Source organism: Homo sapiens, chromosome 15 (assembly GCF_000001405.40).
Source record: "Homo sapiens chromosome 15, GRCh38.p14 Primary Assembly".
NCBI lineage: Eukaryota > Metazoa > Chordata > Mammalia > Primates > Hominidae > Homo > Homo sapiens.
The window spans coordinates 83276875-83301735 of NC_000015.10; the positions used below are offsets into that span (position 1 = coordinate 83276875).

Below are 24861 nucleotides of genomic sequence, written 5' to 3' on the forward strand. Positions count from 1 at the left end.
AAAACCACGTGGAAAATGACTCACTAGCAGAGATCACCGAAGTTAAGTTTTAGAGTCTGTGGTCCTCTCTTACGTGTGAGATTCTAAGGCTATGCCAGATTCTCAGTGGAAAAAAATCGTAACTCTTCAACTTTAAATTTAAAAACCCAGTCTGGCAAACCACAAATCACTTTTTAACAGCCACCAAGTTTACAATAAAAATGCTTCAGGATTTTCTTTTTTTGAGACAGGGTCTTGTTCTGTCACCCAGGCTGGAGGACAGTGATCACTGTTCACAGCAGTCTCTACCTCCCGGGATCAAGGGATCCTCCCACTTTATTCGCCCTCCCAAATCTCACATAGGCGCATGCCACCATAACCAGCTAATTTTTAAAAAAATGTTTTTATAGAGACGGGGGTCTCACTATGTTGCTTAGGCTGGTCTTGAACTCCTGATTCACTTTTTTTCTTTTTTGGAGACAGTGTGGCTCTGTCGCCCAGGCTGGAGTGCTGTGGTGGGATCTTGGCTCACTACAACTTCTGCCTCCCGGGTTCAAGTGATTCTCCTGCCTCAGCTTCCTGAGTAGCTGGGACTACAGATGTATGCCACCACACCCGGCTAACTTTTTGTATTTTTAGTAGAGATGGGGTTTCACCATGTTAGTCAGGATGGTCTCTATCTCCTGACCTCATGATCTGCCCACTTCGGCCTCCCAATGTGCTGGGATTACAGGCATGAGCCACCGCGCCTGGCCAGTTTTTTCTAAGTAGTACTTTTTAAATGTTGAATATAGATAATTGTTGCTAACGTGCATATCAAAAACTGCCAATCAGGACACATAAAACAAGACATCTTTTAAAGCAGCTGGGCTACCTTTGGTGTCTAGGTGGAGAGCCTGGCTTCACTTAACCTGTTGTGAAATTGTCATTCTTACTCTTTCTGTGGCTGCAGAGCTAGCCTTCCTGGTTTAGGAAACTGCATCATTCAAGGGTGGGAGTTAATTCTCTACCCCACTGCTCTTTGGAGCTACTTTGCCTCTGCACTTCTTACTTTCCTTATTAGAACTGGATTTTTTTTTTCTCCTTACCTTCCCACCTCTCACTTTTCACTCCTTTCACTTTTTCTTTTTAAGTTTCCCATTGTTTTTCTTACATATGAAAACCCACAGAGGTACAACTAGGATTCTGAAAAATAGTATCACCCTTTGCCAAATAGGTAATAAGGACAACCGGGAAGAAGAGAGGTGAAGCCCACTAAGTCCTTTAATGTGAGGCAGCTTATCTGCAGGTGAGAGTGTCGGACTTTAGCTGACCTTGAGAAACACACATGGGGCAGACACTCAACACATCATGCCATCATCTTCCACTAATAGTTTAAGAAAATGATAATCATTTATTTAACAAGGTTTTTATTTGTTTGTTTCTAAAGCATCTACTATGTACTTGGTAACCATGGGGAGCTTCATGGAGATACAAAGATGAGTAATTGCCAGTGTCTGACACTAGGGAAGACTTGAATGACTGCAAGAAAAAATCACACAACTGGGTTGGTCAAAAACAGCAGAGTAGAGAATATGATTTGTCAAAAATTAGCATGAGTCATTCACTGTGTTAAAATCTAGGAATTCAAAATATACTCAAAACAAACAAAACTCATTGGCCACTTTTAGAAAATGCTAGGAAACCAACTAACTATTCTGAAAATTGGTAAACAAAGGAAAAAAATCAAATGTGTATCCTTTGCTATATAACCTGTATTTCAGGGTAAAAAAATCATTGATGAGACAAAGATTATCTCTGAATGTGGATCAAATAAATGAAGAACTGGAGTATCACCATTCCGCAACTCCTAATGAAAAATAGGAGGCCATTTGTCTCTGGACTGAAGGATACATACCACCACACATATGGTGTTCTTGATAAAAAAGTTCAAACCTGAATTGGATCAAGCCTCTTACTCAACTCCAATTTAAGAATATACAGGAGATACAGGAATGTTTAAATGATACTACAAGGAAATAATCATTGAAATTCAGACCAGGGAGCACTCTACAGGACAAATGATCCAGCTTTTTCAACAAATAAATTGCAAGGAAAAAAGTAAAGTATGAACCTATATATTAAAAAAGACAATGTACGGACCTTACTTGAATCCTGATTTGAAGAAACCAACTGTAATATAAAGTTTGTCAGGTAATCAAGGAAATTTGAACACCAATTAGAAATTTAATGACATTACAGTTATTGTTAATTTTTTAGGTGCTCTATGGTATATTGCCCTGGTTTTTTAAAAAAGAGCCTTTGTATTTTAGAGCTTCATATTATAATATATATGAATGAAATTATATAATGCCTAGGATTTGCTTTAAAGTAATCTAGTGTTGGTTATGATGGGTAGGAAATACAGATGAAATGAGACTGGCCCAAAGTTGGTAACTGTTGAATCCCCAAGCACATATTACATCAAGTTTCATTCTAATTTTGATTGTTTGAAATCTTCTATAATAAAAAGTGAAAAAAATAAGTCAAACTCCTACTCTCCCCCAAATTAAATAGTTTGAGTGGGATAGGAGAAATGGAGAAGTCAAGGTTGTACAGAGAGGCCAGAGAGGGCTTCCTCCAGGAAGAAGGCATGCTCTCATCAGTGCATGCAAGAAATACCACAAGCCTAGGTACAATGTAAAGCTTAACATGTACATATGTGTCAGGCCAAGGAGCCTGGGCCACAGAGCACAGGTCTCTGTTACGGGCAGTGAGACCTACCTTGAAAGACAAAATAAGGTGGGCCTGGGCTGTCCAGATGAGCAGCCAGGAGTCTCTTTATTGGGTTCATAGGATCATTGGCTTTCTACAATGGGGAGGCACTGTTTACCACAAGCATGGTTAAAAGGAGATGTGGGGAGCCTCAGAAACCAGGTAGTCAGCATTTGCAATATAAACACAACACTAAAGGAGAATGGACAAAATCTGGTTTCTCACTCCAAGTATGAGGATGAAATGAGAGACCAAAGACTGAGGGCATGGAGAAGGGTCTGGCAGAGAAAGGGCAGGTGGGAGGTAGAGCTCCTTCAAGTGACAGATATTGATTGGGCTGAGTCTACCTGTGAGTTTAAAGTATGCATGACACATTTGTAGTGTTCTCTAGCTGCTTAGTTCAAAGACTGTGATGGGGAAAATACTTGTTCTTTTGATGTCTATGAATCAAAGTATAAACTGTGTGCCAAAATAATTTAATGTCTGTGCTTTTTTTCTTAAAATTATTAGTTTCAAAAACTGAAAATCTATGAAATAGCTGAAAAACATGCAAACACTACCTTAAAAGCCAAGCCAAATATTTCTTCTTTAAAAAAATTTAAGAACTGTACAGAAATGTAAATTATATGGATATATTTTTTCCTTTATAACCTAATTTGGGAAACCTCAGAGGTAATCTTTAGAAACCTTTGATAACAAAAAACCAAAAGATATTAATTGCATGTAAAGGGAACTTTCCGAACATAGTTGAATCAGCCTGAGGAAAAAAATACAGAGCAAAACACTTACACTTTAGCATAATTTTACCTAAGTTACATAAGCAATGCAACTTCACTACTGCTGCTGATACAAAATAAAGACGAAATTGTGAACATTTCTAAGTAAGATTTTGTAAAACATTCTTTTGGGGACTCATTGAGAACTAGGTTTTTGAAACTAAGTTTTTAAAAAGAAAAGATCAAACTTAGTTAATTATGCCATCCTGATCCCTTGCTTCAAATTCAGTGTGAAGTATCATGAAATGCTAAGAGTTGACAGTATAAAAATTTTACCTTCATAATGAATAATGCAAGAAACAATTAGAGGACTACAGAAAAAGGACAACACTTCCGGAAGCTGATGTACAACTAGAAAAGAAATTTGAGGTTTGAGTATTTGGTAGGATCACACAAATAATCTGTAGGAGACCATCAAACTAATCTAACTATATGAAAAAATGTTAGAACCCTGAATTAAGAGTTTACCTGAGGCAACTATTTCCCTATGGACAGGGCTGTTTGGACCTGACCCTCACATTTTATTTCTCCATCTCTCTTTTGTTTCACATTAGTTGAATGAAATTATCATTTCCCCAAGGCAGAGTCCTCCTGTGATTTGTTAGGCTGGTTTATAATAATGAGTCCATGTGTAGACGGCAAGAGTGACAGTCTGTTTGCCGATAACTAACTATGTGAGGTTTGAGAAGGCCCAAAATTGGACCCTGGAGAAACAAGTCTGTTCTCTGTTTATACCCACCCTCTTCGGCTGAAATAGGCATGTGTCCGTGCAGAGAAATGGTGCCACAGTGGAAGCTTGGAATTTCCAGAATTAGGAAAAGGACTTCAAAGAATGACAAGATATGCAGAAATAAGGTTTTCAGGTGGAAACCAGTTTAAAAGGAAAAAGAAATGCTTTCCAGATGCTTCTTTTGAGCAGAATCCAGTTATCTTTAACATCTCTCAGAGAAGTCATCAAAAATAAAGAAACAAAAACTCTGCAGTAGAACACTTGGAATTACGTAATTAAAAGAAAAGTACCAACTCCCTAAAATCTTGATTTTAGATACTAAAAAGATGGGTGGCTCATCATTGAGATTTTACCTTAGCTAAGGTATTTTCAGTTCCTTCTAAAAAGGACAGTTTCTGACAAAAGTAACCCACTCTAAATGACATCTGTAGAGGAGAAAATTCACCCTGGGGTGAAGCACACTCCTGTAAGTAATTTACCCTGTGGAACCTTCAGGGCATCCCTTTTAATGGCCACATCAAAATTACTTCTAAAGCCACATACAGAAGCTAAAAGACACTTCTGCCCCCCACTCCATAAGCTGCAGTTTAATTTTACTGACAAATTGAACTTTTAAAATGTTTCCCTGTTTATACTTATCCCTAGGCATTCATAAATGACAAATGTGTGCTTAGGGACAACTACTTTGTTCCACAGGGAAACCTGTATGGCTTTTCTCTCTCATCTATCGGGTTGGATCGTCTTTCCAATCTGATGATCTTGAGGTACAGAAAGTGGGCATGGGCCTGGGATGCAGGCCTAACTGCTACATGGGGGAGATGCAATAAAACATAAAATAGCCCTCCAGTAAATCTCATGCTTCCAAGGCAATTACTTCATGTTAGTCAATATTTCTAATGAGAATTATAACCACAGCAAACAGATCACTGTAGGTATCAATGGCCAAAGAACTTTAACCACTTTCTGAAGGAGGAGAATGTCCCTAAATCCTTACTAGTCTGAAGGGACACTATAGGTACAGATGATATTCAAATTAAATTATGCAGATGCCTGAACATAATTACGAGTTCCCAAAGTGTGAGCATCATGTGTGCTAGGTGAAGATTTCACCACCTCTTCTCAGCATTTAACTACAACAGGAACACGTTCAACCAACAGTTGACTTGAAATAGTAATAGTTTCTTGGTGAAATTAGTTAGCAAACTTATTAGATGAGAAATCAAACGATGACTCGTATCTTATTCGTTTTAACCATCTGAAAGTATGCCAAAAAGAATAAAGTTATTTCTTAAAATTCATCATCACAAAAGGAGAAGCCATCTTTTCACACCTCTTTAAAGAGCAAATCAAATCCAGTACAATTTGTAACATCTGAAGTAATGTTCTTTTATATGATGTACAAAATTTTATTTTGACAAACTATTTTAACAAGGTTTTAATATGTATCAACGAATCTGGGAAGGGATCAATGAAAAGAGAGTCAGTGTATCCATCACTGAACAAAAGTTTCAATACATTAACACGTATTTGCAAACTCAGGGTCGAAGACTTAGAATCTTATCAAGAGATCCCATAAAATCGAATAGCAAATTAAATAAACAGCGAATGAAAAAAAATCTGCCAAATGCTGTTTTTCAATTCACTTACTGTCAAGCCAAAATCTTGTCGCTTTGATGAAAAGAATATATTTTTAAAAAAATTGTTGCTACATCTGCTCTGTGGTCCTATGCAGTAACACATGTTCTCTCTCCCTCACACACACACTCTCTCTCTCCCTGACAGGGATTCCCAGGACACCGGTGGGGCCTCTTTTAGGCCCCTTAAGTGTTAACAGCAAGAGGCCTGGCTGAGACCAGGCGTCTGGGCCGCTTTAAATGCCCTGGCCTTCAGAGGACTGAGGCGAGCACAGCCATAAAACCAGGGGACGTTACCGAACCCCCGAGCGTCTGATGCCCCCCGCCCCCCAACCACACACAACTTCACTCACACAATTAAGGCTGGGAGATGGCATTCCACTTAACTGTCAGACTCGGAGCGGTGGCAGCCCCGCAGCCACAAAGAGATGCCTTAAATGAGAAGAACATGTTTCTACACCGCATTTGTGAAAGTTTGGCTCGGAGCTACGCGCTGATTAATATCAGATCTCCTTCACTCGCCTCGCCACAATCTTGTCACATCTGGCTGACAAATCCCGAGGAACTCCGGCAAAGCCAGGCGGCGGCGGGGCTCCGGGTCTGGGCGGCGGCTCCGGAGGAGCAGCGGGAGACCCCGCAGCGGCCTCCTCCTTCTCCGCCCGCGGCCCCCAGCCTCGCCGCCGCCGCCCGGCTCCCAGCACGGAACCGACGGGGCGCTCCCGAGACGGGCGAGCCACGCGCTCGCAGGTCCCAAGGCCAGGCTGGGCGGGACTGTTAAGGGAGCTCGAAGTCGGGGGCCGGGGGCTTCCCGTCCCGGCGCTTCCCATGCAAACCCCTGAAGGAAGCGGCAGGCGCAGCCGCGGGCTCCGCAGCCCAGGCCCACTTCCTGTCACTCCAGGAAAACCTCGGAGCGGCGGACGCGGCTCGGCCCGGCTTCCAGCCCAGAGCCCAAGCGCCTTAGCCCCGTCCCAGCGCTTTCTGAAAGACGGGCCACCTCGCGCGGAGCCGCGACAAGGACTCCAGGGTCCGCAGTGAAGCTGGTCAAATCTGCCCCGCACACGGTCAACGCTCGGTCTGTGTCCCGGAAGCTTTCGGACCGGACCTGTCTAAATAGCGACTTTCAGTCGTGGGTTTTTTGTTCTTGTGGGTTTGTTTTGTTTTTTGTTGTTGTTGTTGCTCTACAAAAGATTTGTCCCGCAGTGGACGGGAGCCTCCTCACGGCCGCCCGCCCGTCTCCGCAGTTCTCCTCAGTGACCGGAGGCTGCCGCGCGCCCCGTTCTCCAGAGAAACAATCCCCGGAGAGAAAGACGGCCAGTGTGAAATATCAGCTGTTTCACAAATTCTGAGGTAAAAGAAAAAAAAAAAAAGAAGGGGTCGACCCCCACAGGTGGAAACAGCAAGTCCTAACGTCCTGGGCTGAAGCCTGGGGTGCGGGCGGCAGAGAGTGGCGTGTAGGGTACCCGCCGAGTGCCGCCGCCGATTTCCACAGGCTGGCCCGCCGGCACCTCCGACGCGCCCGCAGATCCGGCGCGGAGACCGTTTGCCAGCTCCGGGACGTCGGGCAGGGACGGGTCCCAGAGCCCCAACCCCCCCGCCGCCGCCTCCCGGCCGGAGACCACGGTCCCTCCCGCCGCGCCTCGGGGCCGCGCTGCCGCGCAGGTAGCCAGCTGGCCCTCGGGAGGTGGCCCTCGGGTACCCACGGGAGCCGGAGCCCAGCGGCGTCCCGGGCCGCCTGCTCCGCGCACAGAGAATCCCCGCGCCCGCGGAGGGCGCCGCGCTTACCTCGGCCATCCTGCGACCGCTGCGGTGCCGGGGCTGCCGGCGCGTCTCCCGGGCCCGGGCCGCCCCGCGTCCGCCCCGGCTCGGCGGGCGCCGCCGCATCCACGCTCCGGCCGTCGGGGCGCGACCCGGCGAAGTGGGCGGCTCCCCAAGCGCCCAGGCTGCGCAGCACGATGGCCGCCCCCGCCGCGCACCGCGTGTGCCCGCACGCCCGCCCCCTGCGCCCCGGGGACGCCTCTCCGCCCCTCCCCCTGCCCCTCCGCCCACCGCGCGGTCGCCCCACGCCGCGGGCGCTGCTTCGCCGCCCGGGAGGCCGCCTCCCGCCCCGGGACCGGATAACGCCCTAAATCAGCGCAGCTGAGGCGAGGCCGTGGCCCCCGCAGACCGCGGAGACCTCGCCGGCGGCCGGCGCGGAGGTGTCTGCCCCCGCCGGGCTTGAAGGCACTTGTTGGTAAAAGACACAGACGTGTCGGTGTTTGCCTCTCCCGGGGAAGGGCGAAACGCTCTGAAGTTCTCTGGCGCTCTTCTCAGGAGATGATTCGGCCTCCCCTCCTACCCTGGGGCGCCCTCGGGGTCTCACTGCCGCGGAGGAAGAAGGCAGCGCCGCCCTCGCCTGCAGAAACCTCATTCCCGAGAAAGTGCGGGACGAGCGTCTTGGGATGTGGAAGAAGGGGGTCGCCAGGAGGTTTTCTTAAGAACTCAAAACAAGCGCCCCCCACCGCACACGCACACACACACACACACACACACACACCCCTTCCCTTGGGTGGTCTGAAGAGTCAAAGTCCCAGCTTGACCACTTTCCCAGGACAAATGGCTTTGCTCTCTGGGCCTCAGTGGCTTCAGTTGTAAAATGGGATTAAGTTTTTCGCGTCTTATTGGATGCTAGGGACGGAATGAAATGAAGTGCCCTGGAGAAGCCAACTGGAGGTGGTGGCCCCGAGAGTAGACGCGGAGGGGCTGAGGCCGCAGGATCCTGGAGCCCAGGAGCTGACGGAGATCGCCCACAGCTGCTGCAGCAGCGCCCGGGTTTCTGCTGCCCCGGGGCAGGGCAAGCCTCTCCCAACCTCTTCAGCTCCTTAAAAGGAGTCTGTAAAGGCTAGACTGGGGGGGCGGCGGGGGTCCTGCTTCCTCTTCCCTCAGTTTCTTCCACCTGCCTTGCTGCTGGTGGGGATCCTTGAAAAGGAAACAAAGCTCTTCCTTCCCTCTCTGAGAGGAAAAGGAAGATGAAGTGAGTTGCCCTCAGCCACCCAGAGTGTGCCTGGTTGTGGCTATGGAAGGCACAGGCAGGTGGAAGGCTTCTGAAGGGAAGAGAAGGGAAAGGAGGGAACAAGGTGTACGAGGAAGAATGTGTGGGTGTCTGGGCGTCCTGGCGTCCTGGGGTCCAGCGGGTCCTTCTGCCTCTCCTGGGGTGGACACACAGGTGAGTGTCCTGGGCCTGATGTGTGGCGCCTTTCCTTGTAGGCTTGAAGTCTCCTGGCCTCACGTGATGGACCTTGCCGTGGGAGGAGATTCTTTTTTTTTTTTTTCACGTGGCTAACTTCTTGATGTAGCTTTGCTAGATTCATTCCGCATCTAAACTGCTTACCTCTCATTCCTCCGTGCCCCCGTATTGAGGCCTTTCTTCTAACACCTCCTTCTCTGTTTGTTGTAACACAGTGCATCTTTGAAGGACTTTCTGGAATGTCACCACATCTCAGAAACCTTCCCTGATCCACCAAGCCTCCACTCGATGTGCTTTTGCCCTGTTGTGACCCCCAGGCACTTTTTTCTGCCTCTTTCATCGTGCCAGTAGCATTGTGTAGCCTAGTTGTGATGTGTGCTTGTCTTAATTCCTTTGGTGGTTACTCATCTTAGTGGCTTCTGTGCTATGAGATACGGTAGCAGATAAACCTCTGGTTTTGCAGTCATAGTGACCCAGGGATAGCTCATTCCTAGCAACTGGAAACTGGCTGAGGAAGTCAGCCTTCTTGGCCCCTCTTTTCTTCTCTATAAAAGCAGATATGAAAGCCTGTCTCAGGCCAGATTGGTAGGACTAAATAAAATAGTCTCTGTTCTGCAAACCCTCTCCCCCTTTCCTTTCTGCTGCATCTAAAACCAATTTCTGGATTAACTTAAATTTGTTACCTACAATAATATTGTAACCAAGAGAGATCCTTGATGACAATATTACTGAATGCCACCTATGCCTATTATAAATACACCACAATGTCTATGTCCCAGGCGGTGGCCCACTTCAATAACTTTAATCTGTCCAATTGAAAGTTTTGGTCATTATCTTTATATTAATTGCAACTAAATTATATGTGTTTTAGTAAAACTTTCTGCTAGCAACAAATATCAGAATCAACTGTGTAACTCTATTCCTGGCTACAAACACAAGAAGGATTCTGGCAGTACATAATTTGAAAACATGAAAACAAGCTGCCTCTTCCAACATGTACTGTTGGGATCGACAGATACATTTTTTTCAAATGTGACAATTTGGACCGACATATAGGGAATCAGTAGGTCGAGATAAAAATTACTAATTAATCTTTTGCAGTTTCATTTTAAATCATGTACCTGATAGTACCATGTGACCTCTGACATCAGTCCTCAAATTTATTTCTCAGGTCTGATGGGCTTCTCTGCCATTCCCTGGAAATGTTAAGTAGAAACAGGAACAGAGAAACCACCTGTGCCTGTAGACAGGAGTGTGGTACTGGCTGGGTAAAGACTACCCAGACCATCTTCCTGTTTTCCTGCTGGTTACCAGTGGGGTCTGGTATGGCCTTTCCCTCCTCTAGACCTCACCTTTTTCATCTGGCAAATGAGAGCATCTCTGAGAGCCCATCCTGCTCTTGCAAAGTCCTCACGTTTTGCTTCTATGTTTCAACCTTGCCATTTTCTTTTGTGGCAAGTTCTTTGTCTTGGCAAGTGATAAAAACAGATTGTCTTCCCTAACTTTACATTATCAAGTACTAAAAGAAACTTTATTAAAATTGGAAAGATTGAGAAGATACAAAATAATGAAATCTTTGTGACCTGATGATAAGGAGGTAAGAATCAGCTCTTCTGAGATGCAGGGCTTGATTAGGTTGCTGTGTCTCTGACTGAGGCATTTCCCAGAGTGAATGTGTTGTCACTCTCCATCCTGAGAATCAATGACAAATGCTGAGGGGCTGGGCAGGCTGAGTCAGGGGGAAGTGGGGAGGTGGGGGGCCATGTGAACCCAGAGCCAGTGCCTGTCTGAAGTGGGCAGTAGTTAACTCTACTTGTCATCAGCCAGGAATGTGGGCTCAGTTTTGCCAGATTTCTTGCGTTTTCAAGAGAAACTGTAAATGTTCTGATGTTTAAAAGTTGGCAACCAATTCAAATTTTTGATAAATACAGTATGAGTCAAAGAAAATGTTTGCGAGCTGAATCTGGCCAATGTGCTATTCATTTCCACACTCTGCTATATAGTGATGTCTTCTTGAGGCCTGGGATTGTAGCACATAATAGACGTGCAATAAATATTTGTAGTGTGAACATCACTCCTGATGGAGAACAGCTTATAACTTCCCTAAGTTTTAAATGGAATTCTCGAAAAACACACTGAGATTAGACACAACCTTTTGTGTTGGATCTGAAGTCCGCAAATGGGCAGGTAAACCTTTCTAATATTTACACCCTAGAAGACCCCCTCTGGTTGTCAATAAATAATTCTGTTAAATACAGAATAGCCTCTTCTTAGGAAACTAAATCTCACAAGCAGTTTTTCCCCAGTGGGGACAGATGAGCTTGAAAAAAATTTTAAAGAATATTTTTAATCATGGAAATCGTATTAGAAAAAAAAGCACCTTTTAGCTGTAGAGGTTTGGGCACTAACAGTGGGAACATCATGATACTACAGCAGGTCAGGCAAGCAGGTAATCTGCCTAAGGAGGTAGCCGCCTCTCACTTGAGCCCACCAGTGGCCTGGAGGAGGAGCCAGCCCTGGGGCTGTTGGCAGAAAGACAGGGTGAGGGCCAAAGGGTCAGGGCAGGCCTTTTGAAATAGCAGGGTGGGCAGAGAGCAGTGGCCCTGTCGGCCTTCTGTGGTGTCCTCTCCTGAGTCCTCCACATTCCTCTGAGGTGTCAGGAAACAGCAGGAGGCAAGAGTCACATTTGTGCCGTCACCTCCCGGCCCAGAGACATACACCTGGTGGCGGCAGGTCTGGGCACATCTGCAGCTTGGCTCGGTGTTAGAGCCTGACTAAGCAGCACTTGGGCCAAACTGGCCCCCCCACGCAGCTGTCTGCTGGGGGACAGGCTGGCCTACCACAAACCTGGCACAGGTGTCACAATTTCCCCTCTTCAGCTCCAGGGCTGCTCCCTTTTGAGGGAGAGGACATGAGGCCATCCCAAATGTGGCCCAGGGTTTTGGTGGCAAAAGATTGTTCCTGTTCCTCAATTTCTCACACAAGGCCTGGGGTTGAAGGGAGCAAAATACCCTGCAGGTCGTGCTACACAGAGGCGAATGCACTGTGCCTGGCATTTTGGGTTTTGCCAAAGATTGCCAGATCTCAAGGGGGTGGTGGGAGTTGGTGTCAGCGAGGAAGTGATAAATACAATAGTAAATTCCAAAGTGAAAACAAACCCAGGCCTGATTCGTAATTACTGCTTGCCTGAATGTGGCTGCCAGTGATGCAACTTGTGAGCCTCAGTGGCATCTTCTGCAACCAGAAAATTCTCATTTCTGAAACAGACGAAGGCTTATAATGATTTTTTCAAGTGGAATGCTTGGAGCAAATATTGAAAGTTTGGCTACCATTGTTTTGGTATGTCTGGGGTGTGTGAAGTTAGCTTCTCATTTAGGCTGTTGTCCATGGCCTTTAAACAGTCAGCAACAGTCACAAGAAGGCAATGGCTTGCCTTCCAGACAACTCATTCTTTCATCACCAAGGCAGTGGGAAGAAAATACCACAGGTTAACTTATCCCTGGACACTTTGTTTAGTAATAAGCTTGTCCAATCTAAGTTCTGTGGGCCACATGTGGTCCAGGAGAGCTTTGAATGCAGCCCAACATTCAAAGTTTAAATTCTTAAACTTTCTTAAAACATTACGAGTTTTTTTGTTTTTTGTTTTGTTTTGGTTTTTGCTCATCAGCTATCATTAGTGTTAGTGTATTTGATGTGTGGCCCAAGACAATTCTTCTTCCAATGTGGTCCAGGGAAGCCAAAAGATTGGACATCCCTGATTTAGTACTACACATGTGGAAGAAATACTTAGTTGGTGAAAATCCCTTAAACTAGGCACTTTACAGATTGAGTTGGTGAATTTGGGGCGAGTTTCATGAGGACAGGACAGGTCCTGCTTGGATGGGTTTTGGGAGGCTGGTGAACATATATCAGAAAACTTTTAAAGTTCATTATGCCTTGGAACATGGTGTCTTCTGCAGATTTAATGATCCATTATCCAAGGTGAAGGAGGATATATTTGGTTAGGTCATATTGCTTTCGGAAACTGAGGATAAAAGGGTTAGGGAAGATGGGCTATAGGACAAATTTTGAATCATTCTCACTCACTGATATCAAATGGTAAAAACATTTTTAGGGGGATAATTTTTGTATATTCTTAAGGGAAGAGAGAACTCTGCAAAAAAAATTTGAGTTACCCATTTTGTTGTTTTTGAAAAAGTAAAACCACTTTAAATGTCTGACTTAGAAATTTTATAGAAAACAGATTCCCCTTTATAGAGTTTATGTCTGATATTGAATAAAAAAATTAATTAGCAATCCAGGCTGTGCATGAAAAAAGATTATAGCAGGCAGTATGATGTGTGACTGGCCTCTTCACCCTTCCTTTCATTCCTTCTCCGCAGTGTAGCAGCTATGTTCTCTGGGTAATCAACCCCAGTCCCAGAGGTGATTGGCTCAGGTGACCCATGCCTAAACCAATCAGCACCAAGGTATTTTCCTGGGCACAGGAATTGGTTCCAGGTCGTCCAATCAGCTTAAAACTCAGAACTTTTGTTTGATGGGCATGAAATGCCGAGTTCTTTTTTTCCCATAGGGGGTGAAGAAGGATAACATGTAATCCCTGTTGTTCCTGGCATCTTGTGAATAATAAAGGGAAATCGGGCTGGGAATAGAGCTGACATGTGGAGATGAGAGCTCAGAGAATTGTAGAGAAATTCAGCTGGAGCTCTGATTCACGCCTGAAGCCTTTGGGCTTCATGGATCTGTGAAAAATTAAATCACTTTTGTCACTTAAGCCAGTTTGAGATTTTTTTTTTTTATTTTTAAGAGAAAGCTTCTCAACTGATATAGAAACTTACCTTCAGTTTTACTGGAAGATTATTCTGGATGAAGGAAGGATAAGTGACATACCAACTGTTCTCTGTCATAACAGTCTTTGTTCATTATTTGCATTTTTAGATGACATTGGTGATGGAGGATTAGGAGAGAACCTCCTGACACAGACCTTCAATCCACAAACGCTGGGTCAAGTGAAGAGATTTTTCCAATCAAAGTACATTGATGCTGTAATCATTAGTTTTTTCCTTACTATTAAGTAAAATATTTTCCAGAAATGCACTGACCACATACTTTGATTTTTTAATAACATTTTCTTCATTGGATTATGAAATTTAGGAGGTTAGGGACTGTGTTTTTTTGTTTTTTTTTTCCAAGACAGAGTCTTGCTCTGTCACCCAGGCTGGAGTGCAGTGGTGCGATCTGGGCTCACTGCAACCTCTGCATCCCAGGTTCAAGTAATTCTGCCTCAGCCTCTGGAGTAGCTGGTATTACAGGCGCCCAGCACCACACCCGGCCAATTTTTGTGTTTTTAGTATAGATGGGGTTTCACCATGTTGGCCAGGCTGGTCTTGAACTCCTGACCTCATGATCTGCCCACCTCGGTCTCCCAGAGTGCTGGGTGCTGGGATTACAGGCATAAGCCACCGCGCCCGGCCTTTTTTTTTGAGACAGAGTCTTGCTCTGTCACCCAGGCTGGAGTGCAGTGGTGTGATCTTGGTTTACTGCAACCTCTGCCTCCTGGGTTCAAGCGATTCTCATGCCTCAGCCTCCCACGTAGCTGAGATTACAGGTGTGTGCCACCACACTCAGCTAATTTTTGTGTTTTTAGTAGAAGTGGGGTTTCACCCTGTTGCCCAGGCTGGTCTTTAACTCCTGGCCTCAAGTGATCTGCCTGCCTCGGCCTCCCAAAGTGCTGGGATTATAGGCATGAGCCACCGCACCCGGCCCAGGACTGCTGATTTTTGCTATATCTAGCACAGTGCTCTTCTGTACACTGTAGGTGCTTCTTAAATGTGGGCTTTACCTATACATTTATAAATGAAGAGATTTAAACACATATTCCTGACTTGTAGCTCCTTAAAAGTACCTTCTTGTAAATGGCATAATAGAAGACTTCTAAAAATGTAATTGGTAACTGTGCTTGGAAATCTACTTTGTCAAACTGTGGCTTCTACACCTTGTCTCCAACACCAAATCAGTTTTGATACTGATGTTTCCCAGAGGTGTGGCTTTTAATCCTCAAATTACAGCACAGGTTTTAACAGGCCAGTTTTGTCTGTCACCAGGAGTTTAGTAATTAACAAAATGCTCCATCTCTAATGGTTTATCAAAAGGCCAGTAAGCAAGTAAGAGACATTATACAGGAAACAGACTTGGTATGCTCATTGAGAGAATTCATTTAAGGAGCACTCCAATTACATGCTATGTTTAATTTGAGCCCAGTTGCTGAAGCTCAAGGTAAGACTTGCAAAGGGAGGTCTGAAGCAAGCCCTGACCATGGATCCTACATATGAACAAAATTGAGGGTCCTTCTGAACGTCCATTCTAGGAATCACATAACTTGGAGTCATTTTCACAGCCATGGATGTTTTGCAACAGGCTTTGCTACAAACACTTTAATAAAAGTTAGTGGTTTTTCTTGGGAGTCCAGGACAGGCGTATAACAACCACTGAGTAACCTGCAAGTAATGTTCGTGGTGACAATTCTGCTTTGTTCTGTGGGAGTGTAAGTAGCTGAATCAGGACACAGATCGCTCTCCGTGAGTGTTGGGAAAGGAAGGTCTGCACACTCAAAGCAGGGAGTGTTCTCTTTATCTGAGGTGGCTGCCAAGTCTTAAATACTAAAACATGTAGGTGTACTTGAGTAAAGAGAAAGCACTGACATTTCAAAGATAACTTGATAGAAGGCAAGAAAGAAGAGGAACTGGGTTATTTGGCAGAAATGTAAGTTTCCCCCGGAAAGGTCACCTTTTTTAGGACCTTGGTGTCCTGAGATTCTGACAGAGGGTTGGACACATCCTCAGGCTGATGTTTGTGCAGAGCAGGCTTTCTGCCTGAACCTCTCCTCTCACTTTCCTTCATCAGGACACCCCTAATGGATTGCAGATGTCGTATTTGGTTAGAAGCACGTTTCAGATACATCTGCCCTTCTTGCTTTTATGCAAAAAACACCTGCAAATCTTTATCTTTGGTTGGATTTACCACACATTTGAAGCTTTGAAATTTTGGTCCAGTGGGAAAGAGGAGCATGTCACCACCTTCCTCCTTAAGTTGAATTCCATAACTGACAATAGCCTTTGGGGGAGATGTTTCCATTTTTCTTTAAGGATAGTAGTTGGTAACGTTTTAAAAGCCTCTGTCCTATTCAGCTGAAAGTTCATTAATTTCTTTAATCCTAGGGAGTCTGGAAAAATCCATAGTGAATATGGGTAGATAGCTGATATGTGTGTGTGTGTTTCTTCCCGATTTTCTGAGTCTTAAAATGAGACCACAGTACCAGAAGAGGAGAGAACAATGAGATGTTGGCAAACTGGCTAGAATAACACTACAGGACCAGATTCCTTGGATGTGCCTTGAAAAGACATGTGGTGTATTTCCAATAAGTAAATCCCTCTAGGCCTCAAGGAACATTTTCACCACTCCCTTTATTCATTCAACTGTATTCATTCAAAGATATTTCATCCCATCAACCAAACAATGACAAATGCCACTTAAATGGTTGTGAGATAATAAAATAATGAGCTGCCTCTGGGAATGCTGAGAAGGACTTCCACATTGGGTATGGTTTTGTCAGGAAGTAGGAAGCCTTGGCTAGGTGTACACTAGCTTTGGTGACTGAGCAATACATTTACCCTTTTGGGGGCCTCAGTTTTCTCATCTGTAAAATGAAGGAGATGAATTAAAGTTATTTGTTTATTCCACAAATTATTACTAATATTGAACAGCATCTTTTTTTTCTTTTTTTTTTTTCTTTTTTTTTGAGATGGAGTCTCGCTCTGTCATGCAGGCTGGAGTGCAGTGGCATGATCTCAGCTCACTGCAAGCTCCGCCTCCTGGGTTCACACCATTCTCCTGCCTCAGCCTCCCAAGTAGCTGGGACTACAGGCGCCCGCCACCACGCCCGGCTAATTTTTGTATTTTTAGTAGAGACGGGGTTTCACCATGTTAGCCAGGATGGTCTCCATCTCCTGACCTCATGATCTGCTCACCTCGGCCTCCCAAAGCACTGGGATTACAGGCGTAAGCCACCACGCCGGGACTTTTTTTTTTTTTTTTCTAAACTTAGTCTTCCTCTGTTGTCCAGGCTGGAGTGCAGTGGCACAATCGCGGCTCACTGTAGCCTCCACCTCCCAGATTCAAGTGATTCTTGTGCCTCAGCCTCCCAAGTAGCTGGGACTACAGGTGTGTACCACCATGCCGGTTAATTTTTGTATTTTTATTTTTATTTATTTATTTTTTGAGATGGAGTCTCCCTCTGTCACCCAGGCTGGAGTGTGGTGGCACAATCTCAGCTCACTGCAACCTCTGCCCCCCAGGTTCAAGCGATTCTCCTGCCTCAGCCTCTCGTGTAGCTGGGACTACAGGTGTGCTCCACCGTGCTGGGCTAATTTCTTTGTATTTTTTAGTAGAGATGGGGTTTTACCATGTTGGCCAGGCTGGTCTCGAACTCCTGACCTCAAGTGATTAGTCCACCTCGGCCTCCCAAAGTGCTGGGATTATAGGCATGAGCCACCTCGCCTGGCCTAATATTGAGTATCTTCTGTGTGCACTGTATTTGCATCTGAGGATACAATGGACCCAGTCCTTGTACTCATGAGCAGCCCTTCAGCAGCACTATCACTTCCTGGTTACTTTCCATCATTCACTGCAGTCATTGAGAATTGGCTTAGAACACTCAACCCCCTTCAACCTTTATTAATTCCTGAATTTTATTATTTTTTTTTAACAACATTCATTTTTGTTTGTTTAGAGGTGGAGTCTTGCTAAGTTGCCCAGGCTGGATTTGAACTCCTGCACTCAATGCCTAGAGGGATTTACTTATTGGAAATACACCGCGTGTCTTTTCAAGGCACATCCAAGGAAGCTGGTCCTGTAGTGTTATTCTAGCCAGTTTGCCAACATCTCATTGTTCTCTCCTCATCTGGGGCTGTGGTCTCATCTTCCTGCCCCTCAGCCTCTTGAGTATCTGGGACTACAGGCATGAGCCACTGCACCCAATTCCTGGATTTTCTATCAAATTACCCTCGCCAATAACCCATGATTCCTGGCACCATTATCCTTCTGCAGCACCCACCAACCAAATTCTAAACCTGGATCAATGCTGTAATCAGGCTTTTCAGCCTCAACATGCACACTTGAGTATTGATGGAGAAGCAAAATGATGGCAGAATTGGTGTTACCACAAATTCCAAGTCTTTACCCCAGGGCTACATTTCCATGAACAACTCCCTTTTCTGTTCCCCTCAGTGATTAAACTGAAATACATACATAACCCATTTTAAATCTCTCTTCCACCAGGCTCAGAGGATGGTGTTCATCCCCCTCTCCCATCCACCATACCTTTTGGGACCCTTGTAGTAATAGCCTCTCTTTATTGTGCATTCAGCATCTCCCTTTCAATTAGTTCCTTAGCCTATAAACATTTTAAATTCTAAAATACCCTTATATAGTGGACAATTAAAAGGATAAACAACCACCCCCCTGCAATTCATCCCTTGTGTTCCTTCCTGTGTAGACTCTAGCCGTGATCATGTAATTTGCTTTGGCTAACGGTCATTAGCAGGTATGCTGCCAGTAGAGGCTTAGTAATTGCTTGCACACTGAGCTTATCTCTCCTGGATTATTCCCTTTGGAGCCCAGCCACCATGTTGTGAGAGGTCCAGGCTGTCCTGATGGAGAGAACGGCCATGTGGAATCGGCTCCAGAGCGTGAGAGACCACTTTGAGAGGAAGGTTCTGAGAGCACATGGAGAGAAACCTCGAGTCCCTACTAGCCCAAACAGTTGGCCTACCAGCTAAAGGTAGTCTGAATAGTGACCAAAGGAGAGACCAGAAGAAAAACTACTTAGTTAATTGATTGGATTCTGAGAAATAATAAATCTTTGTTTTAAAAAGTCATATGTTTCAAGGTGGTTTGCTGGGCAGAAGCAGATAACTGAAGCAATCCTAAAAATAAGAAACAACATTCCTTTAACCTCACTCTCTATCTGTTCTTGGCTAAGCTTCTGGAAATAGTCTATATCCTTTTTTTTTTTTTTTAAACAGAGTCTCTGTCTGTCACCCTGGCTGGAGTGCAATGGCGCCATCTCGGCTCACTGCAACCTCCATTTCCTGGGTTCAAGCAATTTTCCTGCCTCAGCCTCCCAAGTAGCTTGGACTACAGGCGCACTCCACCACACCCGGCTAATTTTTGTATTTTTAGTAGAGACGTGGGGGGGAGCGGGGTCTCACCATGTTGCCCAGGCTGGTCTTGAACTCCTGACCTCAAGTGATCTGCCCGCCTTGGCCTCCCAAAGTGCCAGGATTACAGCCGTGAGCCACCACGCCCAGCCTGGAAGTAGTCTATCCATGATGCCTGGATTCCCCAATTTCTAATCTAATAGGCATTCTTCAGCTGTTTGCACTGCCCCTCTCTGCTGTACTAGTCTCTGGGGACTTCTTCCCTGATTTCCATGACTCCTAGCCTCCTGATTCTCCTCATTTCTCTCTCACTGGACATTTTCCATTACCTTAATGGCCTCCTCTTCCTCCACTTGCTCTTTTCGTGTTCCTCAGGCTCAGGTTCTATCTTCAGCTACCTTTTTCTTTTCTTTTTTTAAAAAATACTTCATACGCTGTCTTGGTGATCTCATTTGTTGTATGATTTCAACCATAACTGATGATCCACAAATCTAGGTGCTGGGCATTGGTTTAGATCCTATGAGTACAGTATGAAAAATAGGCACAGTCCTAGGCCTGTAGTCAGTGAACACTTAATAGTTCTCTGTAAGCACTAAACAATCTCTTGCCTCCATGCTTTTACTCCTATCTCCTCTACTGGCAATAGCCTCACCTGCTGAGGTGGAACAATGCTCCCTGCACTTCCCTTTTAGCTAATTCCTGTTCCTCCTTTAAACTTAGTTCAAACACACTGTTCTCTGAGAAGTCTTTGCTAATAGACCCGTTTTATCTTTCCTTCATGGGCTACGTGACTCCAGTCCATGGCTGTACTCTGAGTAGATTTCATTTGCGTTTAACTATTTTAATTGTTCTTTTATGTGTCCCCCTCTCCAATAGAATCTGAACTCCTTGAGGGCAAGGACCATATCTTACTAATTTGTTATTTCCCAGGGTTTAACATAGTGCTCAGTGTATCATCTGTGCCCAATAATAGTTGTTCAAGAAAAGATTGTTCAAAGACTGAATTGTAGACTTTCTTTCTAATGTCCTGTGGAATTCTATCCTACTTGAGGTTTTCGTATCTGTATTTATAAGTGAAATTGGTCTATAATCAAGTCAAAGAAGCCTGGAGTCCACTGACATGTTTAATTTGTTGTTTAATTTGTAAAATCATTTGGCATCTCCCATTTTCCCAATGCTATGGCAAAGTTTTTAAAACATGGAAATCATCTTTCTCTAAGATTTGACAGCGCTCACCTGGATTCCTGATACTGGTAGTGGGGATAGAGTGTTTTTAACTTTTTTTTAATAGTTTTTTTTTTCTATTTGTTTTCCTCTATTACACTTTTCCAAATTTTCTGTTTCTTATACTTTCATTATTTTATTTTTAGGGAGAAATGATCACCTAATTGCTATTTTTAAATTCAAAACTCAAAATTCATAATTATATACCAACTTAAAGAGATATTCTAAGGCTGGGCGTGGTGGCTCACACCTGTAATCCCAGCACTTTGGGAGGCCGAGGCAGCCAGATCACAAGGTCAGGAGATCAAGAACATCCTGGATAACACGGTGAAACCCTGTCTCTGCTAAAAATACAAAAAATTAGCTGGGTGTGGTGGCATGTGCCTGTGGTCCCAGCTACTTGGGAGGCTGAGGCAGGAGAATCACTTGAACCCGCGAGGTGGAGGTTGCAGTGAGCTGAGATCGCACCACTGCACTCCAGCCTGGGTGGCAGAGTGAGACTCTGTCTCAAAAAAAAAAAACATTGTAGCTACTGTTATATCAATTTTCTAAATTCTAATTTTGCTTCCTTCTTTTCTCTTAGATGGGCTACTATATTGCTTGTTTTATTTGTTCTTTCAACAAGTCTGCTTCTTTTATCTTTATTATTTCCCTACTCTTATTTTCTTAGGATTTCTTTTGTGTTCTATTTCTAGAAGTTTAAATTGAATGCTAAGTTATTTTTAAAAAATCACTTCATAAATTCAATTTTGAGTATATCTTTAACCACATTTCCTGTATTTGCTTATGTAATGTTTCCATAATCATTTTTTCTAAAATATCTTTATTATTATTTTTTTGAACCAGATGTGGTATAAGGCTTTTCAATCTTTTAATGACTTTTTTGTCTTAAGCTTTATGATTTCTCACTTTATTACATATGATCAGAAATTATGACCAATATAATTTCTACTTGTTTGAATTTATTGAGAGAGTCTTATTTAAAAATATAAGTTCTTGTTCATAAAGTAATAAAGTATAATTTATTAATTGTACTTTAAAATTATTTTGTTCATATTCTCTAATTCTTTTTTGGTACGTACTCTATTTAATCTGACACAGCCCAATAACAATGAATTAAAATTTTCACTGCAGTCATCTGTGTGTGTATGTGTGTGTGTGTTTTATAGTTAGGGCTTAGGAATCTTGGAAGGCTCCCTGGAAGTGGGGTGCTGATATGGACATAATCTAAAACAGGGGTGTCTAATCTTTTGGCTTCCCTGGGCCACATTGGAAGAAGAATTGTCTTGGGCCACACATAAAATACACTTACATTAACGATAGCTGATAAACTAAAAAAAAAAAGGCAAAATGTCTCATAATGTTTCAAGAAAATTTATGAATTTGTGTTGGGCCACATTCAAAGTCGTCCTGGCCACTTGTGGGACAAGCTTGGTCTAAAACAAAAGGGGTTAAAAATACTAAGATAGGAAAAGTTACATTGATCAACTTTTCATTTGTCCTGTACTTCCCTCTTGTTGCACTTACTATTCTGTGTTATAATTGCTTGTTTATATTTTCCATCAGATTGAATCAGACTTGTTTACCACAGTTAGCTCAGTGGTCACTCAGTAGTTATTTGCTCATCAAATAAGTAAATATCATTGGATCCTCTTTTTAAAACTAACCTGAGATTCCTTGGTACCTGGCCTAATTGTTTCACTTGCTCTGACTTCAGAGATTTTGGTACTTGTTCTCTCAGTGTTTCTTTTCTATTTTTATGCTGGCATATGCAATATATTCTGTTTACTTTTAGCTATTTGGAAGCCAATCACCATATTGCTAACCTAGTAATAATTTTCTTAAAACATCTTAGACATTTTTCGTTCTGTGCTTAATCAAAACTGGTATCTTTTGGCTCACTTTCACGGAAAAAAGAAATATTGTGCCCCTCAGGGCTTCCCTCTACTTTTTCTCCCTTTCCCCATTTTTCTAAAATTTAAAATATAATCAGATAATAGGTATTTTAGTTATATGTTGCTGTGTAACAAATTATCCTAAAACTGAGTGGCTTAAAACAACAAACATTTATTATCTCTTGGGATGTGGCTTTGCTGGGTCCTCTGGTCCAGGGTCGCTAGTAAGTCTGCAATCAAGGTGTTGGCTGGGGCTACAGTCTTCTCAAGGCTCAACAAGTAGAGGATTTGCTTCCAAGCTCACTCATGTGGCTGTTGGCAGCGTCAGAAGATCCACTTCCAAGCTCACTCACATGGCTGTTGGCAGGAAGGCATCAGGTTCTGGCTGGCTGTTTGCCAGAGGTATCAGCTTCTTGTTACATGGGTCTATCCATGGGGGAGCTCACAACATGGCAGTGCTTAGAGCAAGCAAGAGAGAAAGCAGGAAGAGATACAAAAAGAGAGAGCAAGTGAGAGCGCAAGCAAGAGAGTGCAAGAGATGGTAAGCAAGATGGAAACCAGAATATTTTTGTAACCAAATCTCAGAAGTGACATCCCATCACTTTTGCTGTATTTTATTTGTTAGAAGAGGGTGTAGGTCCAGCCCACCCTGCAGGGGAGATTTCACAAAGGGTGAACATCAGGAGGAAGGAATCATTGGGAGCCATCTCAGATGCTGCGTACCACAGTAGAAAACTTCCTGTCTCTATTCTTTCAAAGTCATTTTCCTTTTATTCCAATATCTGTATTAATTATTTTAGACACCAATTATACTCTTTCCCTGTTACTTGTAAAAACATTATGAGCATTTTATACTTATTTCTGAAACTTAATATCAGTGACCATCACTATTTCTTTTCAATCATAACTTCCCAACTAATAGTTTAACATTGACAGTTTCAGAAGAGATATATAAGGCAGCAAGATTGATCTTAAATCCTTGTTCACCCTCCCCAAACTCTTACCAACTTACAGGTGTATTTTTATCTCTTGGGTTTAAGAATTCACTAGAATTTATATTAATATTGTTCCCTTTTTATTGCTCTTATCTCAGATACAGTAAGTCCTCTTGATTTCTAATATCAGGATTCCCCCTCCAGACCCCTAATTCTGAAAACTTTGATAATTAAGTCTTAACCATTTGTTTTCTCTTTATCAGGAATGTTTTATCCACAGGTTGGCTATCAGGTCAGTGTCCTGTTCTTTATATCTATTGTCTTCTTTTATTCCTTTTAAAATATTTTATTGACTTATTTTGTGTTTGGCATAACATTCTTGACACTATCATTTATTTGGATGAAAAGATTTTCTGTAGTTTTAATTCTGCTTTTTATGGAGACCCAATTCCAGCTATTATGAATATAATTTTGTTGCATTCTCCTTTTATGCTGACCTGTTCATTGATTGATGTGATGAATTCCTATATCTCATTGAAATATAAAGCAGGTTTATCTTCAGGTTAACCTACTTTAGGAGGAAAATTTTCCTTTGGGGAAGTCTTACATATTCTTTAATTCTGCAAAATTTTTTCATATATCCCATGCTCCCTTTTTCTTTGCATATTTTTTTTCTAAAAGTCTTTACTGTATTTGTCTGGAAGACTTGAGGGACTGGATTGTTGGAAAAAAAAAATGAACCCACATCCCATGATTCATTTGAACATGGAGAGCTCTCCCTGGGACTAGTGCCAAAGGTTCAATCAAAAGCTGCCAGTGACTCCCCTAGGAAGCACTTGGTTCTGAAAATGAAGGATAGACTAGGAATAGTTGCAGGTTAGCTAACCTAAATCTTTCTGGGAATAAGACTGGAGTATATCAATCAATAGATGCAGGTCACACATCTCTCTGCCGCATGGCTGAGCAAAGAGAATCTAGAGCATACCAAGTTCTTTCTTAATAATGCTGATGAATTATTTCTTTGTTTTGGCTCATGTTTCAACTTTTTATCTTATGGTTCTTCAGGTAACTTCAGGTCCAAATGTACAGTCAATAGTTAATCTGTCAATATATTTTTTCTTATTTGGGGCTTTCTGTCTTTCCTTACATCCTATTCCATTCCTCTGGGCTTACTTTTCTTCTTGCTGAAGTAAATCCCTTAGTAGTCTTTTCAGTGAGGATCTGTGAATGACAAATGCCCTTAGAGTTTATAACTCTGAGTAGATTTTTATTTTGTTCTCACATTACAAGCATGAGCAACCGTACCCGGCTGATGGTATTTTTTCTTCAGCACACTGATGAAGACAATTCTTCCATTAAAATTCTTCCAGGCCGGATGTGGATTATGCCTGTAATCCCAGCACTTTGGGAGGCCGAGGCAGGTGGGTCACGAGGTCAGGAGTTCGACACCAGCCTGGCCAACATGGTGAAACCCTGTCTCTACTAAAAATACAA

General features: G+C 43.4%; 1 protein-coding gene and 1 long non-coding RNA gene across 5 annotated transcripts in view, besides 2 other annotated features; one reads left to right on the top strand and one right to left on the bottom strand.

Annotated features, from left to right (window-relative positions):
- Nucleotides 1-7790, bottom strand: part of BNC1 (basonuclin zinc finger protein 1) — a 28781-nt gene extending 20991 nt beyond the window's left edge. Inside the window, exon 1 of one of the 3 annotated variants that reach the window (NM_001717.4) lies at nucleotides 7656-7790. In NM_001717.4, coding sequence (NP_001708.3) covers nucleotides 7656-7754 — 99 coding nt within the window. In that variant the 5' untranslated portion in view covers nucleotides 7755-7790. Of the gene's footprint in view, nucleotides 1-6226; nucleotides 7222-7655 lie in introns of those variants that run through there. The other 2 variants (XM_011521893.2, NM_001301206.2) reach the window with 2 other exon arrangements.
- Nucleotides 7138-24861, top strand: part of BNC1-AS1 (BNC1 antisense RNA 1) — a 34652-nt gene continuing 16928 nt past the window's right edge. For both annotated transcript variants that reach the window (XR_932541.3, XR_932542.3), the window contains exon 1: nucleotides 7138-7220. This is a non-coding gene — a long non-coding RNA (BNC1 antisense RNA 1). The remainder of the gene's footprint in view (nucleotides 7221-24861) is intronic.
- Nucleotides 7181-7681: an enhancer, noted in NCBI's record as "H3K4me1 hESC enhancer chr15:83952807-83953307 (GRCh37/hg19 assembly coordinates)". NCBI's record gives its function as "activates a minimal SCP1, AML or CMV promoter by ChIP-STARR-seq in naive H9 embryonic stem cells {active_cell/tissue: H9 hESC(naive)}" and the evidence as "EXISTENCE:reporter gene assay evidence [ECO:0000049][PMID:30033119]".
- Nucleotides 8451-8951: an enhancer, noted in NCBI's record as "H3K4me1 hESC enhancer chr15:83954077-83954577 (GRCh37/hg19 assembly coordinates)". NCBI's record gives its function as "activates a minimal SCP1, AML or CMV promoter by ChIP-STARR-seq in naive H9 embryonic stem cells {active_cell/tissue: H9 hESC(naive)}" and the evidence as "EXISTENCE:reporter gene assay evidence [ECO:0000049][PMID:30033119]".